Source organism: Homo sapiens, chromosome 11 (genome assembly GCF_000001405.40).
Source record: "Homo sapiens chromosome 11, GRCh38.p14 Primary Assembly".
Lineage (NCBI taxonomy): Eukaryota > Metazoa > Chordata > Mammalia > Primates > Hominidae > Homo > Homo sapiens.
In genome coordinates, this window is record NC_000011.10 from 108,002,140 (window position 1) to 108,023,813 (window position 21,674).

Here is a 21,674-nt window from a genome sequence, read left to right on the forward strand (position 1 = left end):
CATTCCACTCTGGGCGACAGAGCAAGACTCTGTCTCAAAAAAAAAAAAAAAAAAAAAAAAAGATTATTAGTACCCTGGTGTTTTATTAAGGTTTCTCCTGAAAGCGAGTCTGAAACAAGGACCTGGGATAGAAGTGATTTCTTTGGGAGATAACCCAAGAGGCAGGAATGAGAAAGTAGGGAGAGTAAGATAAGGAAGGAGGAAAAGTGTGCCATCAAGGTCACCACCATGAACAAAGGGGACTCAGGTCCACTGAGATCTCTGGGAAGCATCCTGAGTGCCCCATAAAATTGTCCACCAATGGAACAGAGGTTGGGACACATATCCAGTGGCTGCTGACTCTCCTGGTTGGCAGTTGTCCCCAAAAGCATTGTCTTCCTTGTGCTTTGCTGCACTTGTCTGTGGACCTAGCAGGCTCCTGGACCTTCAGAGAAGACCTTGAGGTGAAAGCAGAAAGGAGAGGTGCTCTTTTCATGTGGGAAGGTATCAGGGACATCTGAGCTCACATAGAATGTTCATAGCCGCTGATGAAATCAGAAATAGGTCAAGAGGATGTGACTGAACACCGAAAGCGTCTGGTATGCCTGGCTTCTCCATTCCTTAACCTCCACTTTTCTAATGATTCTGTTCTCCTGTTCTCCAACTCAACTACTCTCTCTCTCTCTCTCTCTCTTTTCTTTTAGACAGAGTCTCACTCTATTTCCCAGTTAGTGGGTAATGGTGTGATCTCAGCTCACTGCAACCTCCACCTCCTGGTTTCAAGTGATTCTCATGCCTCAGCCTCCTGAGTAGCTGGGATTACAGGTGTGCGCCACCATGCCCAGCTAATTTTTGTATTTTTAGTAGAGACGGGGTTTCACCATGATGGCCAGCCTGGTCTCCAACTCCTGGCCTCAAGTGATCTGCCCTCCTTGGCCTCCCAAAGTGCTGGGATTACAGGCGTGAGCCACCGCGCCCAGCCAACTACTCTCAATCTTGATCAGAGTGTAGCCTTTGTCACTACCCATAATGCTCCCAATAACAACCTAAGCTCAATTTCATTCTCCAACTATCCCCTGCTATCTTTTCAGCCTAGTACCTCTTCCATCTTGACTCCAGCAATCCTTAGACTCCAATGTGAATGGACGGTACTTTGACCCTACTGTTTTTTCACTGTTCTTTGCCTCCTAATTCAGCTTAAATCCAAGGGTCGATCATCATACTCACTCCCTTGTATATATGCTCAATGCCCTCCATCATTCTCTCTCGGCAAAACCCCAACTTTGGTTACATCCAATTCTACGCCTGCACCCGAGTGGCTGAATATGTCTTTTGAATCAAACAGGTCCTGCCACGTAGGAGCTGTGAGACCTTAGGCACATTACTTAACCCTGGTGAATGTTAATTTCCTTAGCTATGCTGAGAGACCTCAATTAAAATCTGGGATAACTAGTCTCAAGTTGGCACTTAGGGATGCCCAGGAATCATTATATATTTCTCTTTCCTCTTCCACCATCATAGATAACAATTTCCCATCTTCTCCTTTTCTCCTTTCTTCTTAAACCTCACAGCATCCTCACTATCAGCTCATGACCTGGCTTCCAACTTCAATTAGAGAAGAGAAGCAATCGGAAGAGAATCTTCACTTCCAAGAGCCTATCGACGGTCTCGTGTCTATCCTCCTAGTAGGTGTGACTGTCCATGGTGCTAGCCAAGGTGCACCTCTCCCCATGTGTGCCCTAAGTGCCATCCTCTTGCCTTATCAAGAACATGGTTCTAGCACATTTTCTCCTTTCTATCCTTTCCATCATCATTTTTCCCCTTCTAAATGATGGATCATTCACATCAGCTACCTGACTCTTCCTCTTCTCAGGTGTGAAGTTTAAAAGATACTTAAGGCCGGGCGCAGTGGCTCACGCCTGTAATCCCAGCACTAAGGGAGGCCAAGGCGGGTGGATCACCTGAGGTCAGGAGTTCGAGACCAGCCTGACCAACATGGAGAAACCCCATCTCTACTAAAAATACATTAGCCAGGCATGGTGGCACATGCCTGTAACCCGGGAGGCAGAGGTTGCAGTGAGCCAAGATTGCACCATTGCACTCCAGCCTGGGCAACAAGAGTGAAACTCTGTCTCAAAAGAAACAAACAAAAAAAGATACTTAAGGTCTCCACAAGGAGGAATTAAATTCCTACATCAAATGTATTCATCTATGTAAAGTGCATAGAACTGTGTCTGACATATGGTAAGCATTATATGTTTTAGGTCTTATTATTACTACATTTACTGAGTGCTTACACGTGCAATACATTTTTTTCCTTTTTCTTTTTCTTTCTTTTTTTTTTTTTTGAGACAGAGTCCCGCCCTCTCACCCAGGCTGGAGTGCAGTGGTGCAATCTCGGCCCACTGCTCAACTCCCGGGTTCAAGCGATTCTCCTGCCTCAGCCTCCCCAGTAGCTGAGATTACAGGCACCCACCACCATGCCCAGCTAATTTTTGTATTTTTAGTAGAGACGGGGTTCCGTCATGTTGGCCAGGCTAGTCTCAAACTCCTGACCTCAGGTGATCTGCCCGCCTTGGCCTCCCAAAGTGCTGGGATTACAGGTGTGAGCCACTGTAATACATTACATTACAGATACAGACAAGGAAACTATGACTCAGCAGGGTTAAGTAATGTACCCAACGTCTCGTAGCTCATAAATGGCAGGATCTGTTTGGTTCTAAAGCACACATTCTTAAGTATTCTATGAGAAATTCTGGGCCACTGATGCACAAGAATTCTTGGCCACTGGTGTACAAGGAAAGTCACCTGGGATGCTTAGGGAAAAGGTAGATTTGGGGCCTCACTCCTGACCTGTAGAATCAGAATCTTCAGAGGGTAGAGCCTAGAAATCTGCTTTTAAAATAAGCACCCCAGGTTATTTTGATGTAAATGATCAGCCACATTTGACAAACTCCTTTATATATATTTTACTGCATACACAGAAAACAAATGAGAAGAATAAAACAAATGGCTAACAGTGGATATTTTAGGAGGTGGGAGAGAAAAGTTTATAGAGAACTTTCATTTTGTAAGGTATTATGGTTTAACATGATGGCTACATTTTCTTAAATTAGCAGGTGATTTTTTTTTTTTTTTGGAGACGGAGTTTCGCTCTTTGTTGCCCAGGCTGGAGTACAATGGCGTGATCTCGGCTCACCACAACCTCCCACTCCCGGGTTCAAGTGATTCTCTTGCCTCAGCCTCCCAAGTAGCTGGGATTACAGGCATGTGCCACCAAGCCTGGATAATTCTGTATTTTTAGTGGAGACAGGGTTTCTCCATTTTGGTCAGGCTGGTCTCGAACTCCCGACCTCAGGTGATCTGCCCACCTCAGCCTCCCAAAGTGCTGGGATTATAGATATGAGCCACTGTGCCCAGCCAGCAGGTGATTTTTAAAAAGATTTTAAATAAATAGAAGTAAAATTATCCCATTTTCTACTACTCACAAACACTGGTAACATTTTGAATATTTTTTCCAGTTTATCCACTATTCAGAGTAGGAAATAAAACTGTAGCTTTCTTTCTTTACAAAGTTGGAATTGTGGCACATATGTGGAATTTTGCATCCTATATTTTTACCTATTATATTCTGAGCATTTTCCCATGTAATTAATCACATAAGAGGCTATGAAATATAAGAAGGAATGGTTGATTTTTATATATGTCTTATATAAATATAAGAAGAAACATATGCTCATTTCTACTTGCCAACATAATTTCACGAAGCCCCTCTTACAACTTAAAAGCTTTGACTTTTAAGGTCAAAGGTGAGGTATGATGGCTCACAGCTGTAATCCCAGCGCTTTAGGAGGCTGAGGTGGGAGGATTGCTTGAAGCCAGGAATTTGAGACCAGCCTGGCCAATATGGTAAAACCCCATTTCTATACAAAAATTAGCCGGGCTTGGTGGCTCACATCTGTAATTCCAGCTATTCAGGCCGCTGAGGCGTTGAGAATCGCTTGAACCTGGGAGGTGGGAGTTGCAGTGAGTGGAGATCATGCCACCTCACTCTATCCTGGGCGATAGAGCAAGACTCTGTCTCAAAAAGAAGAAGAAGAAAAGAAAGTGTGAAAAAAAAAGGCACAAATTTTTTTTTCAGTAATTTATACCATACTGCTGAGTGAAAACAAATATGTTAAAGAATATATGTAGTATACCATCATTTGTGGGGAGAGAAAAAATAATACATACATGAATGCTTATACATGCACAGAATGTCCTAGGCATTCACAAGAAACATAACTGTTGTCTATGAGAAGAAAGAATGGATGCCTGGGGGACTGTGGAGGAAGGCAGGCCTATTTTTTAAAAATTTTCCCCGAATATTTAATTATGAAAAATTTTAAACATATAGATGAGTTGGTTTTACACAGGGAACCCTAGCATAGCCACCACCTAGACTCTACCATTAACATTTTACTATACTTGCCATATATATATATATATATATATATATATATACATACTTTTTTTTTTTTTTTGAGACAGAGTTTCACTCTTGTTGTCCAGGCTGAAGTGCAGTGGCGCAATCTTGGCTCACTGCAACCTCTGCCTCCTGGGTTCAAGCTATTCTCCTGCCTCAGCCCCCTGAGTAGGTGGGATTATAGGTGCCCGCCACCACTCCCGGCTAATTTTTTGTATTTTTAGTAGAGACAAGGTTTCACCATGTTGGCCAGGCTGGTCTTGAACCCTTGATCTCAGGTGATCCACCTGCCTCGGCCTCCCAAAGTGCAGGGATTACAGGCGTGAGCCACCACGCCAGGCCCGCTTTATCAGTGTTTCTACCCAACCATCAGTTCATCTTATTTTTTGATACATTTCCAAGTAAATTATAAATATAGATTCACTTACTCCTAAATTCTTCAGTATGGGTAGCATTAAACTTCAAATTTTGTTAACTATTTTCTCTTTGAATTAAATGCACATTTTTTAAAAATTTTATTATTTTTTATAGCGATAGCTACTTTGCACAGGCTGGTCTCGAACCCCTGGGCTCAAGTGATCTGCCTGCCTTCGCCTCCCAAAGTGCTGGGCTTACAGGATTGCACCACTGTGCTTGGCTGAAATGCATAAATCTTAAGGGTATACTGGCTGAGTTTTGACAAGTGCATACACCTGAATAACTGAAGTCCCTACCACAATATAGAACATTACATCACCCCAGAAAGTCGAAGGAAGACTACTTTTGATTGTATTATTTTTAGCACCTTCTGAATTTTGTATTATGTGCCTGCGCTATTTTTAAGAAATAAATATTTAAGCATTTTAAATATTTAAACATTTTTATAACAGTGGGCCGATTCTAAATTGGATGAGAAAGAGTGAAAACAGGAGATGGCAGATAACAGGTGGGGTCAATGGAATGGAGAACTTATTGAAGTCAGAGTTGTAGCAGTGGTGTTTCCAGAACAAGTGAGTTAGGAAAATTGGAATGCTTCGGTTGACAGTAGGACGCTGAAATCAAGCTCTCAAAAGTTGTCTTAAGGTTCAGTTAAGCATAAGCAAAGGGTGGCTTGGGTAGATGGAGATTAGGATACTAGTTTCCTTTCCCTTCCTACGCTCTCAAGTGCACACTGTATTTTTTTGTTTGTAGTTTTTTTTTGTTTTTTTTGTTTTTTTTTTGAGACAAGAGTCTCGCTCTGTCGTCCAGGCTGGAGTGCAATAGCGCGATCTCGGCTCACTGCAATCTCCACCTTCAGGGTTCAAGCGATTCTCCTGCTTCAGCCTCCCGAGTAGCTGGGATTACAGGTGCCCGCCACCATGCCCGGCTAATTTGTGTATTTTTAGTAGAGACAGGGGTTCACCATGTTGGCCAGGCTGGTCGCGGACTCCTGACCGCAGGTGTCTCGGCCTCCCAAAGTGCCGATTATAGGCGTGAGCCACGGGGCCCTATAGGGATTATAGGCGTGAGCCACTGCGCCCGGCCTCTTTGCAATATTTATCACAACTCCCACTAAGTAATATTTGACTTGTGTAGCCATCCTTAACATTTGGCTACCTTATTAGGCCATAAACTCCAAACGAGCAGGGGTCTTCTCTTTTATTTAATCCTGTATTTCCTGTGCCTAGTATATACAAGTGCTCAAACAAGTATTAACTACTTGATTGGATTCTTTAAGTAGGCCCATCCCTCTTCTCTTAGTCCAGAGCTCTTACTTATTTCTACGCATTATGGCCGTATGAAGGCTGTTTGTAAACCTGCAAAATACAATACCAGGTATCCTGCAGGTTCCACATGTAAATTATATTATCTCATTGGCCAGTGGTGTGTGGTCTGAAGGGGTAAAACCCGGAGGCTTATGGTTTAGGATCTTCTAGGATAATGTGCCTTCAGAAAATCGAAGATTAATATTCATTCTCTAAACAATCTTTTTTTTTTTTTTTCAAACTTTTTTGTAATGACGAGGGTGTTGAACTGGCCTCAAGTGATCCTCCCCCTTCGGCCTCCCAAAGCACTGAACAATATTTTATCTAAGTGCCAAGCATTCCTGAATAGAAATATTAAGAGTCATCACGCTTGTGCAGTCAACACATATTTACTGGGCGCATTCTATGCACGAGTTATTGAAGACAGCTGTTGTAAGCATTTCAGGACAATGCACCTCCCTTAACACCGAGTCCGGGATTTGGGGCGGGGTGCCGGAAAACGCCAGGTCCCGCCAGCAGAGGGCACGGTCCCGGCCTCGCTGCAGCCTCGGGACCCACCGAGGCTTCCAGGCTCCCACGCTCGCTCCCGAGCGCGTCCCCGCCCTCGCGTCACGTGACGTGGCCGCGGAACCTGAGCTGCGGGGCCTAAGCCGAGCTAAATTCGTTGCAGGTGGCCGCGGCGGGTGCAACCACAAAGGCTAATCCGAAGGAGTCGGGGAGGCTCGTGGAGTCGATGCTTCCTCTTCCAAGTCAGGTCGGCTCCCGTTACCTTCTCAGCATTCGCCGTTCCGGTCTTCCTGAGCGCGTGCATGAGGTCTTTCGCGTGGGGAAGCTCCGGTGACCATGTAGGGGAGAAGAGTGAGGAAGCTCCTGGTGCTTGGGACGAGGTCAGCGCTGTCGGCGCGCTGCTCCAGCGCCCACCACACCCTGGTGCGGGCCGACGGGCCCTGGGCCCTGGTGGGAGCTCCGGCCTCCGGTCAAGGCCTGGCCGGGAGCGCCACGAATTCTCGCGTCGTCTCGCGAGAGTCCAAGTTAAAGAACATGGCGACGTCTAATCTGTTAAAGGTAAGACCCTCACTCCAGCTTGGGTTTTACTGTGTGGCCGCCGGGTTCGGCTCTTTGGGAAAGGCACGGCTCAGGTTCAGCTGCGAAGTGTGGGAGTGTTCAGGGGTTGTCCACTGGCAGGGAAGCCGCGGTGGCAGCCGGCGAGTACCGGAACGCGGGTCTGTGGCCTTGGGGTCGACAGGCTCTGGTGGTCGCTCCCGCCGACTGGCCGCTGGGAGAAAAGCCTGGCTGAGCGCTGGCGAGGAGCGATGCTTTCAAGGGACCAGCTCTGGCCGGGAGCGGGAGATGAATGGTCGTGCGGTGTCCTGACCAGCTGGGCCGTTAGTACTGTTAGGTCTCAGTTTCTTGTAAAGCAATGTCTAAGACGCATCAAAGGAAAAACCAAGAAAATGCTGCCTAACAGGTTTCAGTGACTCGACCCCCCACTTCTTCCATTTCTGTTCTCGTTCTGTCTGCACGAAATTCCGAGTCAGACCAGCAGTGCCTCCCACTCCACCCCCCTTCCTCCCTTTTCTGCGTGTTACACCTTCCCTCCTAATTCTCCCATTCTTGAGTTCATCTTTTTCCTTAGGAAACTGCTTTCTAACCCCCACCCAGTTACAGGACACAACCAGATGACAACTGATGAAGCGATACCATCGTTTTAGGGCGCAGGAAAGTTACCTTGTCAAAGACAGTATTTAAAGTTAGTTTTATATAGCAAGGGAGATCTAGGCCCACAGGGGCAGATTCTCCACCAGTTAAAAAGTTTGGAGAAGAATGAGGAAGACTTAGAACTAGTCTGTTCTGTGTATGTGTCTGTAGTAGTTAATCATTTGCCTTAAAAGTACGGACAGAAATGGGGGTAGTGAATAGCTCAGGGAACATAATATTAATGGCAAAAACCGCAGTCACTTTTGCACCAGCCTAATACAAAGGATGAACCACTTCTTCCTGAGGCCTCTCATGCCTTCAGGCAATGTGGATGAATACTAGAAAATAATAGAAAATATACAGGAACCTAACCATCATGTCTTCTTTAGACCACTGATATTTGATTGTCTAATAGATGGGACTGTCTCATAAAATGAAGAACAAATTTTACTAAGAGGCAGTACTGTATATCACCTTTTAAAAGGGAGAGGGGCCCTAGAATTAGACTCCCTGAATAGCCACCACTTAAAAGCTGTATGACTTTGGGCAAGTTTCCTTATGAGTAGGACAGCATTATCAGTAGCGCCTGTATCATAGGAACATTGTGAAGATTAAATTAGTTAATATATCTATAATGCTTAAAACAGTGCCTGGCACTTAATTAGTATAATACAATAAATTACTATAACTACTCCCCCTCTTTCTTTAAGAAAACTAATTCGGGGAATTGAGTAACCCATCCCACTCTGCTTTTCTCTTTTATAATGGTATAGCAAATTTCTCATGCTTTACTTCAGAAAGAAAATTTGTGGGCTGGGCACAGTGGCTCACTCCTGTAATCTCAGCTCTTTGAGAGGCCAAGGTGGGAGGATTGTTTTAGATACATTAATTTAATCTTCACAGTGTTCCTACAATATAGGTGCTATTGATAATTCTGAGTTAGAGGTTATAGTTAACTATGATCACGCCACTGCTCTGTGAGACTCTAAATGAAAAAAGAAAAGGAAAGAAAATTTGTTTTATTTCTGAAGACTCCTATTAATGCATCTGTGTGTTTACATAAACAGTATGCTATTAATTGAAACGTGTTTAAGAAGTAATTTTGTCCGTGATTCTGGAAAATTTTGACTTGTTGATTACCTGGATATAAAGCAAGGTCTTTTTCTCCCGAAAAATAACTCTCAGAAAAGAGTAAGTCACTGTTCTACTTACAAAACCTCACAAAGGATTGTTTGGAGGAGAAGCTACTTTGGTCTATATTAGTTAAGTACTTACCTGTGGAAGCTATTTTGGTTCATATTAGTTAAGTACTTACCTGTGGAAGCTACTTTGGTTCATATTAGTTAAGTACTTGTGGAAATTCTGAATCTACATCCACAGCACAGACCTGTGAATGGGAAAACTGCCTGAATATACAGAAAACGGGGTACTTAGGGTTTAGGTTTAAAAGCTCACAAGAATTTAAAAAGTGTTTTAACTTGAACATTTACAAATAAAGGGAAGGTGATAATATTTTGAAAAAAAGTAAGTGACTCAGTGACTCTAGTGAACTTTCTTGATGTGTAACTTAGAAGTTAGAAGCCAATGTCATAAAAAAAACCACCAGCTTTTCTTTCTTTTTAATTTTTTTTTTTTTGGAGGGGGACGGAGTCTCGCTCTGTTGCCAGGCTGGAGTTCAGTGGTGCGATCTTGGTTCACTGCAACTTCCGCCTCCCGGGTTCAAGCGATTCTTCTGCCTCAGCGTCCCGAGTAGCTGGGACTACAGGCGCACGCCACCACGCCCAGCTAATTTTTGTATTTTTAGTAGAGACAGGGTTTCACCATGTTGGCTAGGATGGTCTCCATCTCTTGACCTCATGATCCACCCTCCTCGACCTCTCAAAGTGCTGGGATTATAGGCGTGAGCCACCATGTCTAGCTGCTTTTCTTTTTTAATATTGGAATTTGACTCTAATAATTTTATTGTCTGTTTAAAGCAAGTGGACTATTGCTGGATCTTAGAAGTCTTTCAGCTATGTAAAGATTTGTGTAGCACATTTTGACATATACAGTTAACTGCTTAGGGGTTTTGTATCTCTGAAAACCTTTCCATGTAACTACTTTATCTTTGTTGTTTTTCCTTACAGAGTGAGTCTGTAGAACATTTGTAGGGATCTGATATTATAATTTTATCTTCTGTTTTAGATTACTTTGAACATGTAATTGTGATTGTTCCTTTTCTTTTGCAATTATCATCTGGGCCCTTAGTGCTCATTTTTTTCATTTCCAGTTTATTGTTCCACCCCAAACAGCAATTGTTTAAACCTTTTCTTGCTGAGCCTCACCCCTCTTAATTCTTAGTACATTACTTTACCCAGCTATTTGAAGTGCCCTTAACTTCCTTGGTCGATACCAAACATTTTTCTTGTTTCTCCTATGTTCTTCTCTGTTCCATGCTACCTCCCAAATTGTCTCATTCTGCTTGTTCTTTTTCAGTCCTCATCTTCCCCCCAGGACTTGGTGGTATGTCCCCTCTTACTTTTTTTTTTTTTTTTTCAGTTTCCCTTTTTTCTCCTATGCCTATAAGAAAGTTCATATGTCGCGTCATATAAACTTTTCTTTTTTTTGGAGATGGAGTTTCGCTCTTGTTGCCCAGGCTGGAGTGCAGTGGTGTGGATCTCCACTCACTGCAACCTCCGCCTCCCAGGTTCAAGCAATTCTCCTGCCTCAACCTCCTGAGTAGCTGGGATTACAGGCACACGCCACCACACCCAGCTTATTTTTGTATTTTTAGTAGAGACGGGATTTTACCATATTGGCCAGGATGGTCTCAAACTCCTGACCTCAAGCGATCCGCCTACCTCGGCCACCCAAAGTGTTGGGATTACAGGCGTGAGCCACTGCACTCTGCCTCCTCATACAAACTTGTACTCTGCCTCTGCCTCAAACTTCTGTTTCTCACTGTCACAGTTCTTGGAAAAGCAGCCCCCATTTGCTGCCTTTATAATTCTTTGCCCTTTAACTTAATGATATGGCTTACTCTTCTCTCCCACCCAATTGTATAGAACCTGTCAGTCATAAAAGTATTAGCAACCTCCTGATTATCAAATGAGATTCTTCTCTGATAATATTTATCCTCTTTTCTGGTATTATTGCTCATTTCCTCTGCTTCTCTTTTGGTTTTTATGACATTCCCTCCTTGGTCTTCTCTCTCTCAAATCACGTTTGTTTTTCACTGACTTCCCTCCCCTGTCCCCAATAGAATTATTTCTCAGGATTTTATCTTCAGCCCTTTTCTATCTTTGTATATTTTTTTCTGGGACAGTCTTAACTCCCATGATTTCACTATTTTTATCTCTTAGCTCTGATCTGAGCTCTAGATCAAAATGCAGTTCTCACCATATCACTTTCCTGTTCAGATACCTTTGATGATTCAAATTATTTGAGATCTTTCCAGCTGGGTCTTCTCCTGATAACTAGTATTCTCTCTCTCTGTCTCTTGTCTCTCTCTCTCATACATGTGTGCGTACACACTCCTACTTAGCTGGTTACTTGTTGGCTCACTAGCATGCCAGAGGTCGTCATCTCCCTAATAACTAACTCTTAACTTTCATTCTCTCTCCTTCTGATTGGATCTAGTGAGATGGAGGCACAAGAAGGCAGTAGTATATAACCGAACCACAAGATAAATCAAACTTTAAACTGAAATATGATTCATACTACTTTTCTCAGTGGACTTTTTTTTATCCTTTAAGAGGAAAGAAAATGGAAATGTAAAGCAGTGATTCAGAGTGTCTATAGAGGCCGGGCATGGTGGCTCATGCCTGTAATCCCAGCACTTTGGGAGGATGAGGTGAGAGGATTACCTGAGGCCGACCTGGGCAATGTAGCAAGACCCTGTCTCTATAAAACAACAACAATAAAAAGTGCCTGTAAAAGTTATTCATTATTAAAATAACTTTATTGACATCCATATGCAAGGTACCATGGAGAATGCAAAGATATGTAGAACAATGTCCATGCTCTTTGGGAATTTACCATATGCTAAAGGAGAGTAAAAGGTACTAATGATTTATGATAAGGCAAAAGTTTCAGATGTGTTACCAACTGCTCTATGCTCCCTCACAGATTGAGGAAATAATTTCTGGTGGGATGATCAGTGAAAATTTTATGGAGAAAGTGTTGGAGCTGGATTTTGAATAAAGTGTTGGAGCTGGATTTTGAATAATGGGTAAGCTTTTTGTATTGGTAATTAGGAGAAAATTTGGTAGGAATCTAGGCTAGATCAGTGTGGCTGCAGTGTAAGCAGGGCTGCATGCTGTGTTAGATATTCTATATGAATAGTGTTCCTTGGGATTGTTGCAGCATAGAAACCCAGAATACAGGGAAACAACAAGAGGGATAGGAGTGAAAGGGAAGTCGGGTCAGATTACAAAGGGCCTTCAGTGCTAGGCAAGGGGTTTGAAATAAAGTTCTATAGTTACTGAGGAATATTTGAAAAATATGTGGGCAGAGATACTCTCAAGCCCTCAATCTATTTTTGGCTTTTACACATAAATAAAAGTTATTATATTTTCTGTATATTTATAATCTGCTTGTGAGATTGGCCATGGATGAGGGGCATTTGTGCCAGTGACATCTTGTTCATTGAAACCGTAACCATAGCAGGAGTAATTAAGTCTATGGGAAATACATTTATTCATTGAACGAGAATTTAGTATTTCCTAATTCTAACTAGATAATGATGAACTAGGCAGACAGCTCCTGCCCTTGTATAATTTACATTTTTGTTGGGAAGAGAGACAATAAACATAAACAGTGAAATACATACTGTAAGTCAAGTTGTGATAGGTACTATGAATAAAAACAACCAGGGTAAAAGAGAGAGTGCTCGGTGCTCTTATTATTATTATTATTTTTATTTTTATTTTTGAGACGGGGTCTCACTCTCTTGCCCAGGCTGGAGTGCAGTGGCACGATCTTGGCTCACTGCAACCTCCACCTCCTGGGTTCAAGCAATTCTCCTTCCTCAGCCTCCCGAGTAGTTGGGATTACCGGTGACCACCACCATGCTCGGCTGATTTTTGCATTTTTAGTAGAGATGGGGTTTCACCATGTTGGCCAGGCTAGTGTTGAACTCCTGACCTTAAGTGATCCTCCCACCTCAGCCTCCCAAAGTGCTGGGATTACAGGCATGAGCCATCACAGCTGGCTTATTTTTGATAAGATAGTGAGGGAATGCCTCTGAGGAGATAATAGTTGAGGTAAAACCAGAATGAAGCAAGGGAGCAAGTCATGTACATATTTAGAAGAGTTCCTTGTAGAGGGAACAGCCAGTGTGAAAGCACAGAGTCAGGATCATGCTTGGCAAGGAATATGGATGTGATACGAAGATTTGAATATCATCGGTGAATGTGGTTAAGGTGCATAACCAGAGAATTCTTTTTAATATGTCTAGTTAAACATAAATGAGAACCTTATTAAGAACTTGTCAATTTTTCATTGGGTTGATAGAAATTGCCCTCTTGAAACGTATATCTAAGAGGGACATGGGCCTTAGAGCGGCCTTCCCCTCCTTCAGTGTACTGTCCTAGAGAGATGGTTGCATTCGACACAGCCTAGGGAGGAAACAAATTTCAAGGGTGTCTGTGTTGGTCATGGGTAGGAATGGGAGAGGGAATAGTGGACTAATCAGTAACTGTAAAACTTTGTGATACATGTAAATGGTAGAATCTTTCATGTTCTATGAAAATAAATGATTGAACAATTACCATAATCTGGAGGTGATGTATGTTAATTAAAACTTCTAAAAGGAAGTGGCAGCTCAGGGTAAATTTTGATCAGTCATTTTTCAGTAGATTAGAGGAGGGGAATTTTAGACTGCTGGAAGGTAGAAAGAGGATACTAGGCATCTTTCTAGTAAAAAGAGAGGTTTTGTTTTTGTTTTTGTTTGTTTTGAGAGGAGGTCTCACTCTCACACAAGCTGCAGTGCAGTGGCATGATCATGGCTCACTGCAGTCTTGATCTCCCAGGATCAAGCGATCCTCCCACTTTAGCCTCCTGAGTGGCTGAGACTACAGGCACATACCACCCTAGGTCTGGCTAATTTTTTATAGAGATGGGATCTCACCATATTGCCCAGACTGGTCTCCACTCCTGAGCTCCAGTGATCTTCCTGCGTAGGCCTCCCAAAGTGCTGGGATTACAGGAATGAGCAAAAGAGCTAGTCAGCCAGAGAGGTTTTTCTTTTCTCTTCTCTTCTCTTCTCGTCTTCTCTTCTCTTCTCTTTTCTTTTCTGTTGAGACAGGGTCTCACTCTGTCCCCCAGTCTGGAGTACAGTGGCGCAGTCACAGCTCCCTACAGCCTTGACCTCCTCAGGCTCAGGTAATCCTCCCACCTCATCCTCCCACAGGTGCAACACCAGCATTCCCAGCTCATTTAAAAAAATGTTTAGAGACAGGGTTTTGCCATGTTGTCCAGGCTAGTCTGGAATTCCTGGGCTCAAGCAATCTGCCCTGTCCTTCCAAAGTGCTGGGATTACTGGCGTGAGCTACCACCCCTACTTGAGGTTTCTCTTAATAAATATTTTGCTTAGTGTCCTGGTGAACCCAGTTGTCAGTAAGAGCCATTTGCCTCCTGCCTTGGTTAGTAGGTGGAGGAAATAGATGCCTCATATGCTCTGTAAGGAAAGCAGGGCTGGGTGCAGTAACTCACACCTGTAATCCCAGTGATTTGGGAGGCCAAGGTGAGAGTATTGCTTGAGGCCAGGAGTTTGATACCAGCCTGGGCAACCCCATTTGTACAAAAACAAACAAAAAAAAACAAACAAAAAGCAGGATACAGCTCAGGTTAAAACTTTGGTCAGAGGCTGGATGCAGTGGCTCATGCCCAACACTTTGGAAAGCAGAGGCAGGAGGATCATTTGAGGCCAGGAGTTGGAGACTAGATTGGGCAGCATAGCAAGACCTACCACCTCTACAAAAATAAAAATTAGAAAACATTGGTCAAATCCATGGAGTACATACAAATAATATCAAAGGTAATTGATCTGTGTAGCTGTGGTTTGTTCATTCCATAAAAATCTGAGCATTTATGCTGTACTGGATACCATTTTAAATTTCAGGCTGGGCACAGTGGCTCACACCTGTAATCCAAGCACTTTGGGAGATTGAGGTGGGTGGATTACCTGAGCCCAGGAATTTTAGCCCACCCTGAACAGCATGGTGAAACTCGTCTCTACAAAAAATAAAAAATAAATACCTGGGGGTGGTGGTGTACGGTTTTAGTTCTAGCTACTCAGGAAGCTGAGTTGGGAGGCTTGCTTGAGCCCAGGAGGTTGAGGCTGCAGTGAATTGAGATCGCACCACTGCACTCCAGACTGGGCGACAAAGCAAGACCCTGTCTCAAAAAAAAAAAAAAAAAAAAAGTATCAGTGATACAATAGTGAATATGACAAAGTTCTTAGACTTTGGGGCTTATATCCTGATGGATGAATACTGACACTAAAGACATAAAGAATACACTTGCATAGTTTTTACTGGTAATTAGGGCGGTAGCGAAAACAACGTGATAAGAATGTTCAAGGCCGGATGCGGAGGCTCACGCCTGTAATTGCAGCACTTTGAGAAGCCCAGGTGGGAAGATCGCTTGAGCCCAGGAGTTCAAGACCAGTCTGGGCAACATAGTAAGACCTCATCTCTACAAAAAATTTAATAATTATCCAGGCATGTTAGTGCATGCCTGTAATCTCAGCTACATGGGAGGCTGAGGCAGGAGGATTGCTTGAGCACAGATCAAGGCTGCAGTGAGCAATGTTTATGCTGCTGCACTCTAGCCTGGACGACAGAGTGAGACCCTGTCTCAAAAAAAAAAAGTGTTCGGAAGGTGGAGCCACTATTTTACTCACTTATTTACAACAGAAAATAATTTTTCCCCAAAAAACTGCTTTTGACTATTTTTTGTTGAATGTTCTTTTTCTTCCTCATGTTGACATTTCAGCCAGATCCTATAGCTTTCCTGGGCTTTTCTTAAAAGTCTGGTTATTCCAAATTAAAATTTCAGTCTCATAGCCAATCAGAGTGTCTCTTGTACCATCTCAAGACTTTGTCTCTGGATGTGCAGAGAGGAATGGAGGAAGGGCATTTTTCTTAGGTTGGTTTGGGAGGCCTGAGGTGGCATTGGAGCTGAGACCTGAATGATCTGCATTCTAAGGCAAAGGTCTTGAGGTGCAGTGATGAGCTTGGCCTGTTTGAGGAACACCTTTAAAAGGTTGCTGTGGCTGGAACATAGAATTGCAGTAGTAAGAATTACTGGTATTCAAATATATACAATCAGCCCTCAGTATTCATGAGTTCCATGTCTGTGGATTCAACCAACCAAAGATTAAAAATACTCAGAAAAGGCTGGGGGTGATGGCGCATGCCTATAATCCCAGCACTTTGGGAGGCTGAGGCAGGCGGATCATGTGAGGTCAGGAGTTCAAGACCATCCTGGCCAACATGGTGAAACCCCATCTCTACTAAAAAAAAAAAAATACAAAAATTAGCTGAGTGTGGTGGCACATGCCAGTAGTCCCAGCTACGCAGGAGGCTGAGGCAGGAGAATCACTTGAACCCACGAGGCAGAGGTTGCAGGGAGCCGAGATCACGCCATTGCACTCCAGCCTGGGTGACGGAGTGAGACTGTGTCTTAAAAAAAAAAGAGAGAGAGAAACATCACATATATGCACTTAATGTGGCACCCGCACACATTTATTTTTATTAAGCCACCTCACTTTTGTTGAGATAAGAAAGATTTTATGAATCCCCTATAGATGCAAGTAGTGTACTTGCAATGTAACAATGGTTATGAGCTCAGCCTCTGCAGCCACACTGCTTGGGTTGGCCTCCAGGTTCTGCCATTTGCTAGCTGTGTGGTATTGGGCAAGTTACTTAACATCTCTGTGCCTCAGTTTCTATATCTATAAATAGCAGTGATCTCAAAAAAACCTCAGAAAAAAATTGCGTCTGTATTGAATATGTACAGACCTTTTTTTCTTATAATTCCCTAAACAGTACAGTATAGCAGCTGTTAGCATTTACATTATAGTAGGTATTGTAAGTAATTTAGAGATGGTTTAAAGTGTATGGGAGGATGTGCATGGGTAATAAGCAAATGCTATGCCATTTTCTATCAAGGACTTGAACATGTATGGGTTTTGGTATCCCGATGGGTGGGGGTGGGGGTGGGGTGGGGTGGATCCTGGAATCATTTCCCCACAGATACCAAGGGACAACTGTACAGTAGTTTGATTCTTTTGGTTAGTGGGGATTGGCAAATGGGGTTTTAAAATCACATAACTGGGAGCAATAGTGGCTTCATAAACAGTAAGGGAACCCACACATTCAAATAACTAACCTCATAATTCACATGAATTATCTAAAATACGACAACTGAGTTCCTTTGGTAAAGTTATTAGAGTGCCATTAATTGGATATACAGTCATTTACTGCATATTGATGTTTTGGTCAACAACGGATCACATATATAATGGTGGTCTTATAGGATTATAATGGGAGCTAAAAAATTCCTATTGTCTGGCAATGTTTATTGTAGCCCTTGTAACGTAGTAGTGCAATAACACATCACTCGTGTCTGTGGCGATGCTGGTGTACATAAAACTATTGTGCTGTCACTCTTATAAAAGTCTAGCACATATAATTGTATACAGTACATAATCCTTGGATAATAGGATAATAAAATTATTATCCTAATAATAATAAGTGACTGTGTTACTGGTTTATGTATATCTTAGTCCATTTGTGTTGCTATAAAGGAATACCTGAGACTGGGTAATTTATAAAGAAAAGGTTTATTTGGCCCACAGTTCTGTAGGCTGGTGAGGTCCTCAGCCTGCTTCTACTCATGGCAGAAGGTGAAAGGGATCCTGTGTGTGTAGAGATCACACGGCAAGAAAGGAAGCAAGAGAGTGGGGAGAGGTACCAGGCTCTTTTTAACAACCAACTCTCAGGGAACTAACAGTGAGAACTCACTCACTGCTCACCACCCTGCCCCCACCCCCACTGGCATTCATCTGTACATGAGGGATCCACCACCATGACCCAACACTTTTCATTAGGCCCACTTACAACATTGGGGATCAAATTTCAACATGAGGCTTGGTGGACAAACATCCAAACTGTAGCAGTACATTTACTGTTATATACTTGTTTTTGTTTTTAGTGTGTGTACCCTCTAATAAATTTAAAAGTTAACTGTAAAATAGCCTCAGTCAGGTCCTTTAGGAGGCATTCCAGAAGAAGGCGTTGTTACCATAGGAGATGACAGCCCCATTCAGGTTAGCGTTCCCGAAGACTTTCCAGTGGGACAAGATGTGAAGGTTGAAGACAGTGATGATGATCCTGACCCTGTGGAGGCCTAGGCTAGTGTGTATGTGTGTCTTAGTTTTTAATGAAAAAGATTGAGAATAAAAAACCTTTTTTTAATAGAAAAGTTTATAGAATAAGGATATAAAGAAAGTAAATATGTTTGTGCAGCTGAATGTGTTTGTGATTTTTTTTTTTTTGTTTTTTGTTTAAAATAGAGACAGGGTCTCACCACGTTGCCCAGGCTGGTCTCAAACTCCTGAGCTCAAGTGATCTTTGCACCTCAGCCTCCCAGAGGGCTAGGATTAGAGGCGTGAGCCACTGTGCCTGGCCTTGTGTTTGTGTTTCACGATAAGTGTTATTTACAAAAAAGTCAAAGTTTCCCAAAAAGAGGAAAGGTTTTTAAAGTAAAAAAGTTACAATGAGCTTATATTAATTTATTATTGAAGAAAAATATTTTTGGATAATTTAGCATAGCCTAAGTGTTTATAAAGTGTACAGTAATGTCCTAGACCTTCACATTCACTCACTACTCACTCACTGACTCACCTAGAGCATCTTCCAGTCCTGCAGGCTCCATTCATGGTGAGTGCCCAATTTAGGTCTACCATTTTTTATCTTTCATACTGTATTTTTACTGTACCTTTTCTATGTTTAGATACACAAATTCTTACCACTTTGTCCTAATTGCCTCCAGCTTCAGTACAGTTACATGCTATATAGGTTGGTAGCCTAGGATAATAGACTATACCATTTAGCCTAAGTGTATAGTAAGTAGTCTCTACCATTAGATTTGTGTAAGTACATGCTGTTATTTTCACACAACGATGAAATTGCTTAACGATGCATTTCTCAGAATGTCATTAAGTGACACATGGCTCTAATCCACAATCAGTATGGCGGGAACTTCACAAATCTTAAAACAACTAAACTGGTTGTGTGGTGTTCAAAATGTTATGGGCGTGTAAAAGTAAGGTGATAAAAAAATTGCCATTAATTCTATGGATGCCATTATTTCTTGCTCTTCCTTCAGCTTGTCTTTTCATCTTAGCTTTTCTTACACCTTTGTCCTAAGCAAGATGTAGCAAGATATACAGCAATAATAACAAATTCTTTGTTTCCTTGTATTATTTTTAAATTTTATTCATTTTTTAGAGACAGGGTCTTACTCTGTCACTCAGACTGGAGTGCAGTGGGATTATCATAGGTCACTGCAGCCTTGAATTCCCGAGCTTAAGCAGTGCTCTTGCCTCAACCTCTGGAGTAGCTGTTGGGACTACTGGTGTGCACCACCACACCCAGTTAATATTTTATTTTATTTTTTATTATTTTATTTTATTTTGTTTTTGTAGAGATGGGGTCTCACCATGTTGCCCAGGCTAGTTTCAAACTCGTGGCCTCAAGTGATTGTCCTGCCTTGACCTCCCACAGTAATGGGATTATAGGCATGAGCCACACCGCCCAGTTTATTTATTTATTTTTCAGAGACAGGGTCTCACTTTGTTCCTCAGGCTGGAATGCAGTGGCATGATCATAGCTCACTGCAGCCTCGAACTCCTGGGCCCAAGCAGTTGTCCCGCCTCAGCCTCTGGAGTAGCTAGGACTGCAAGTGTGCCCCACCATGCCCATCTATCTATCTGTATCTATCTACCTATCTATCCATCGATCCATCCATTCTTAGAGATGGGGTCTTTCTTTGATGCCCAGGCTGGTCTTGAAATCCTAGCCTCAAGTGATCCTCCCACCGTGCTGGAATTATAGGCATGAGCCCTCTCTGTTTTCTTTTAAATGCAACATTTGACATCATTAAAATATTGCCATAATATTGTTTCTATAATTTGATGTGGTATGTTTTGTCCCAGGCGTTATGTAGGGATTTCTGGGTGTTTTCGGGGCGAACCAGTAGGTCAACATTTGTATTATTTTGTTGTAAAGTAAGTGAATTATTTAAAAATGATTCTATTGAATCATTTTGCAAGCCAGTGGATTTTTCTATTTTTGTTTACATTCTTGTGTTTAAACATTTTTATTTTTTAACATGATAACAAATACTGTATTTCTACACCATTATATATCTGCTCCTTTACTCATGACCTAGTAAAGTGGGATTGTTACAGATACGCTAATTGCTTGAAAATGCACTCCTAAATTTCAGTGGGGGATATGCATTTTTTTTAAGCAGTGATATGTTCTAGAAAGATCTATGTAACATCTTATATTTCTGGCTGATAACACTTACCCCCAGCCCAAACACATTTTCTTTTTCCTAAGCCAATTAACACAGGACCCAAACGCATTTTTAAAAATTAAGTTATTCTTCTGTAATCCACCCTCCCTCCTTGGTCTGGGCAAATGATGGTACAGTATTTAGGCCTGAAGCCTTAGCTGTGTGCTTTTGAGATATAAATTTTTTAACTTTCTCTGAGCCGGTGGTTCAAGACTACAGTGAGCAGTGATGGTGCCACTGCACTCCAGCCTAGGTGACAGCAAGACCCCATCTCTAAAAAAAAGTCAATTATAAAATTGAGTTGTTTTGCTTTTCTTATGGACTTTTTAGTTCTTTACATATTCTGGATGAGAGCCTTTCTTGGATATACATATTAGAAATATCCTTTCCTGGCCCAGCGTGGTGGCTCACGCCTGTAATCCTAGCACTTTGGGAGGCCAAGGCAGGTGGATCACCTGAGGTCAGGAGTTCGAGACCAGCCTAACCAACATGGTGAAACCCCACCTCTACTAAAAAAAATAGCCGGGCATGGTGGCACATGCCTGTAATCCCAGCTACCTGGGAGGCTGAGGCAGGAGAATGAGAATCACTTGAACCAGGGAGGCAGAGGTTGTAGTGAGCCACGATCTTGCCATTGCACTCCAGCCTGGGCAACAAACAAAACTCTGTATCAAAAACAAAACAAACAAAAAAAACGCAGTATCTTCTCCACTCTGTGGGCTGCCTTTTCACTCCCTGAATGGTGTCTTTTAATGGCTAAAGTTAATTTTAATACAGTGCAATTTATACATTTTTTTCCCTTTATGGTTAATGCTTGGTTTTAAGGTCATATGAGTAGTTCAGATTTCTACTTGTATTAATATTTTGTTAGATTTTTAAAAACGAAAACAAAATTTTAAAATTCCTTTTATAGATTGAGTCTTAAGAATGTATCCTGGGTGTCTGGTTGAAGTTGTTGTTTGAAAAAAGAAAAAAAACAAAGAATATATCCTGGGACCCTTCGGGAGTCCATGTACTACAGTTTAAGGAACACTATACTAGAATGTGAATTGCTTGAGGACTTTTCATTTATGTGCCCCAATGCACAGTAGAGTCTCAGATGTTTGTTCAATGAATAAATGTAATAAATGACAAGCTCCCCAAAATAAGTTTAAACTCTTCTGTCAGTTTTATTATTCTTGCTTTTTCCTTAAAATTATTTGTTTGGGTTTCAAAAAATACAAGTATTGCTAGAATTT

General features: G+C 42.2%; 1 protein-coding gene across 5 annotated transcripts in view, besides 3 other annotated features; it reads left to right on the top strand.

The window, feature by feature from the left end:
• The first annotated feature begins 6,758 nt into the window (after positions 1–6,758).
• CUL5 (cullin 5) overlaps positions 6,759–21,674 on the top strand; it is a 98,864-nt gene continuing 83,948 nt past the window's right edge. For all 5 annotated transcript variants that reach the window (NM_003478.6, XM_017018363.3, XM_005271682.3 and 2 more), the window contains exon 1: positions 6,759–7,233. In NM_003478.6, the coding sequence (NP_003469.2) occupies positions 7,210–7,233 (24 nt within the window). In that variant the 5' untranslated portion in view covers positions 6,759–7,209. The remainder of the gene's footprint in view (positions 7,234–21,674) is intronic.
• Positions 6,884–6,983: an enhancer, noted in NCBI's record as "active region_5478". NCBI's record gives its function as "activates an Ori minimal core promoter by ATAC-STARR-seq in GM12878 lymphoblastoid cells {active_cell/tissue: GM12878}" and the evidence as "EXISTENCE:reporter gene assay evidence [ECO:0000049][PMID:35858748]".
• Positions 7,084–7,273: an enhancer, noted in NCBI's record as "active region_5479". NCBI's record gives its function as "activates an Ori minimal core promoter by ATAC-STARR-seq in GM12878 lymphoblastoid cells {active_cell/tissue: GM12878}" and the evidence as "EXISTENCE:reporter gene assay evidence [ECO:0000049][PMID:35858748]".
• Positions 12,904–13,198: an enhancer, noted in NCBI's record as "tiled region #4319; K562 Activating DNase matched - State 5:Enh". NCBI's record gives its function as "activates a minimal TATA promoter and a strong SV40 promoter by Sharpr-MPRA in K562 cells {active_cell/tissue: K562}" and the evidence as "EXISTENCE:reporter gene assay evidence [ECO:0000049][PMID:27701403]".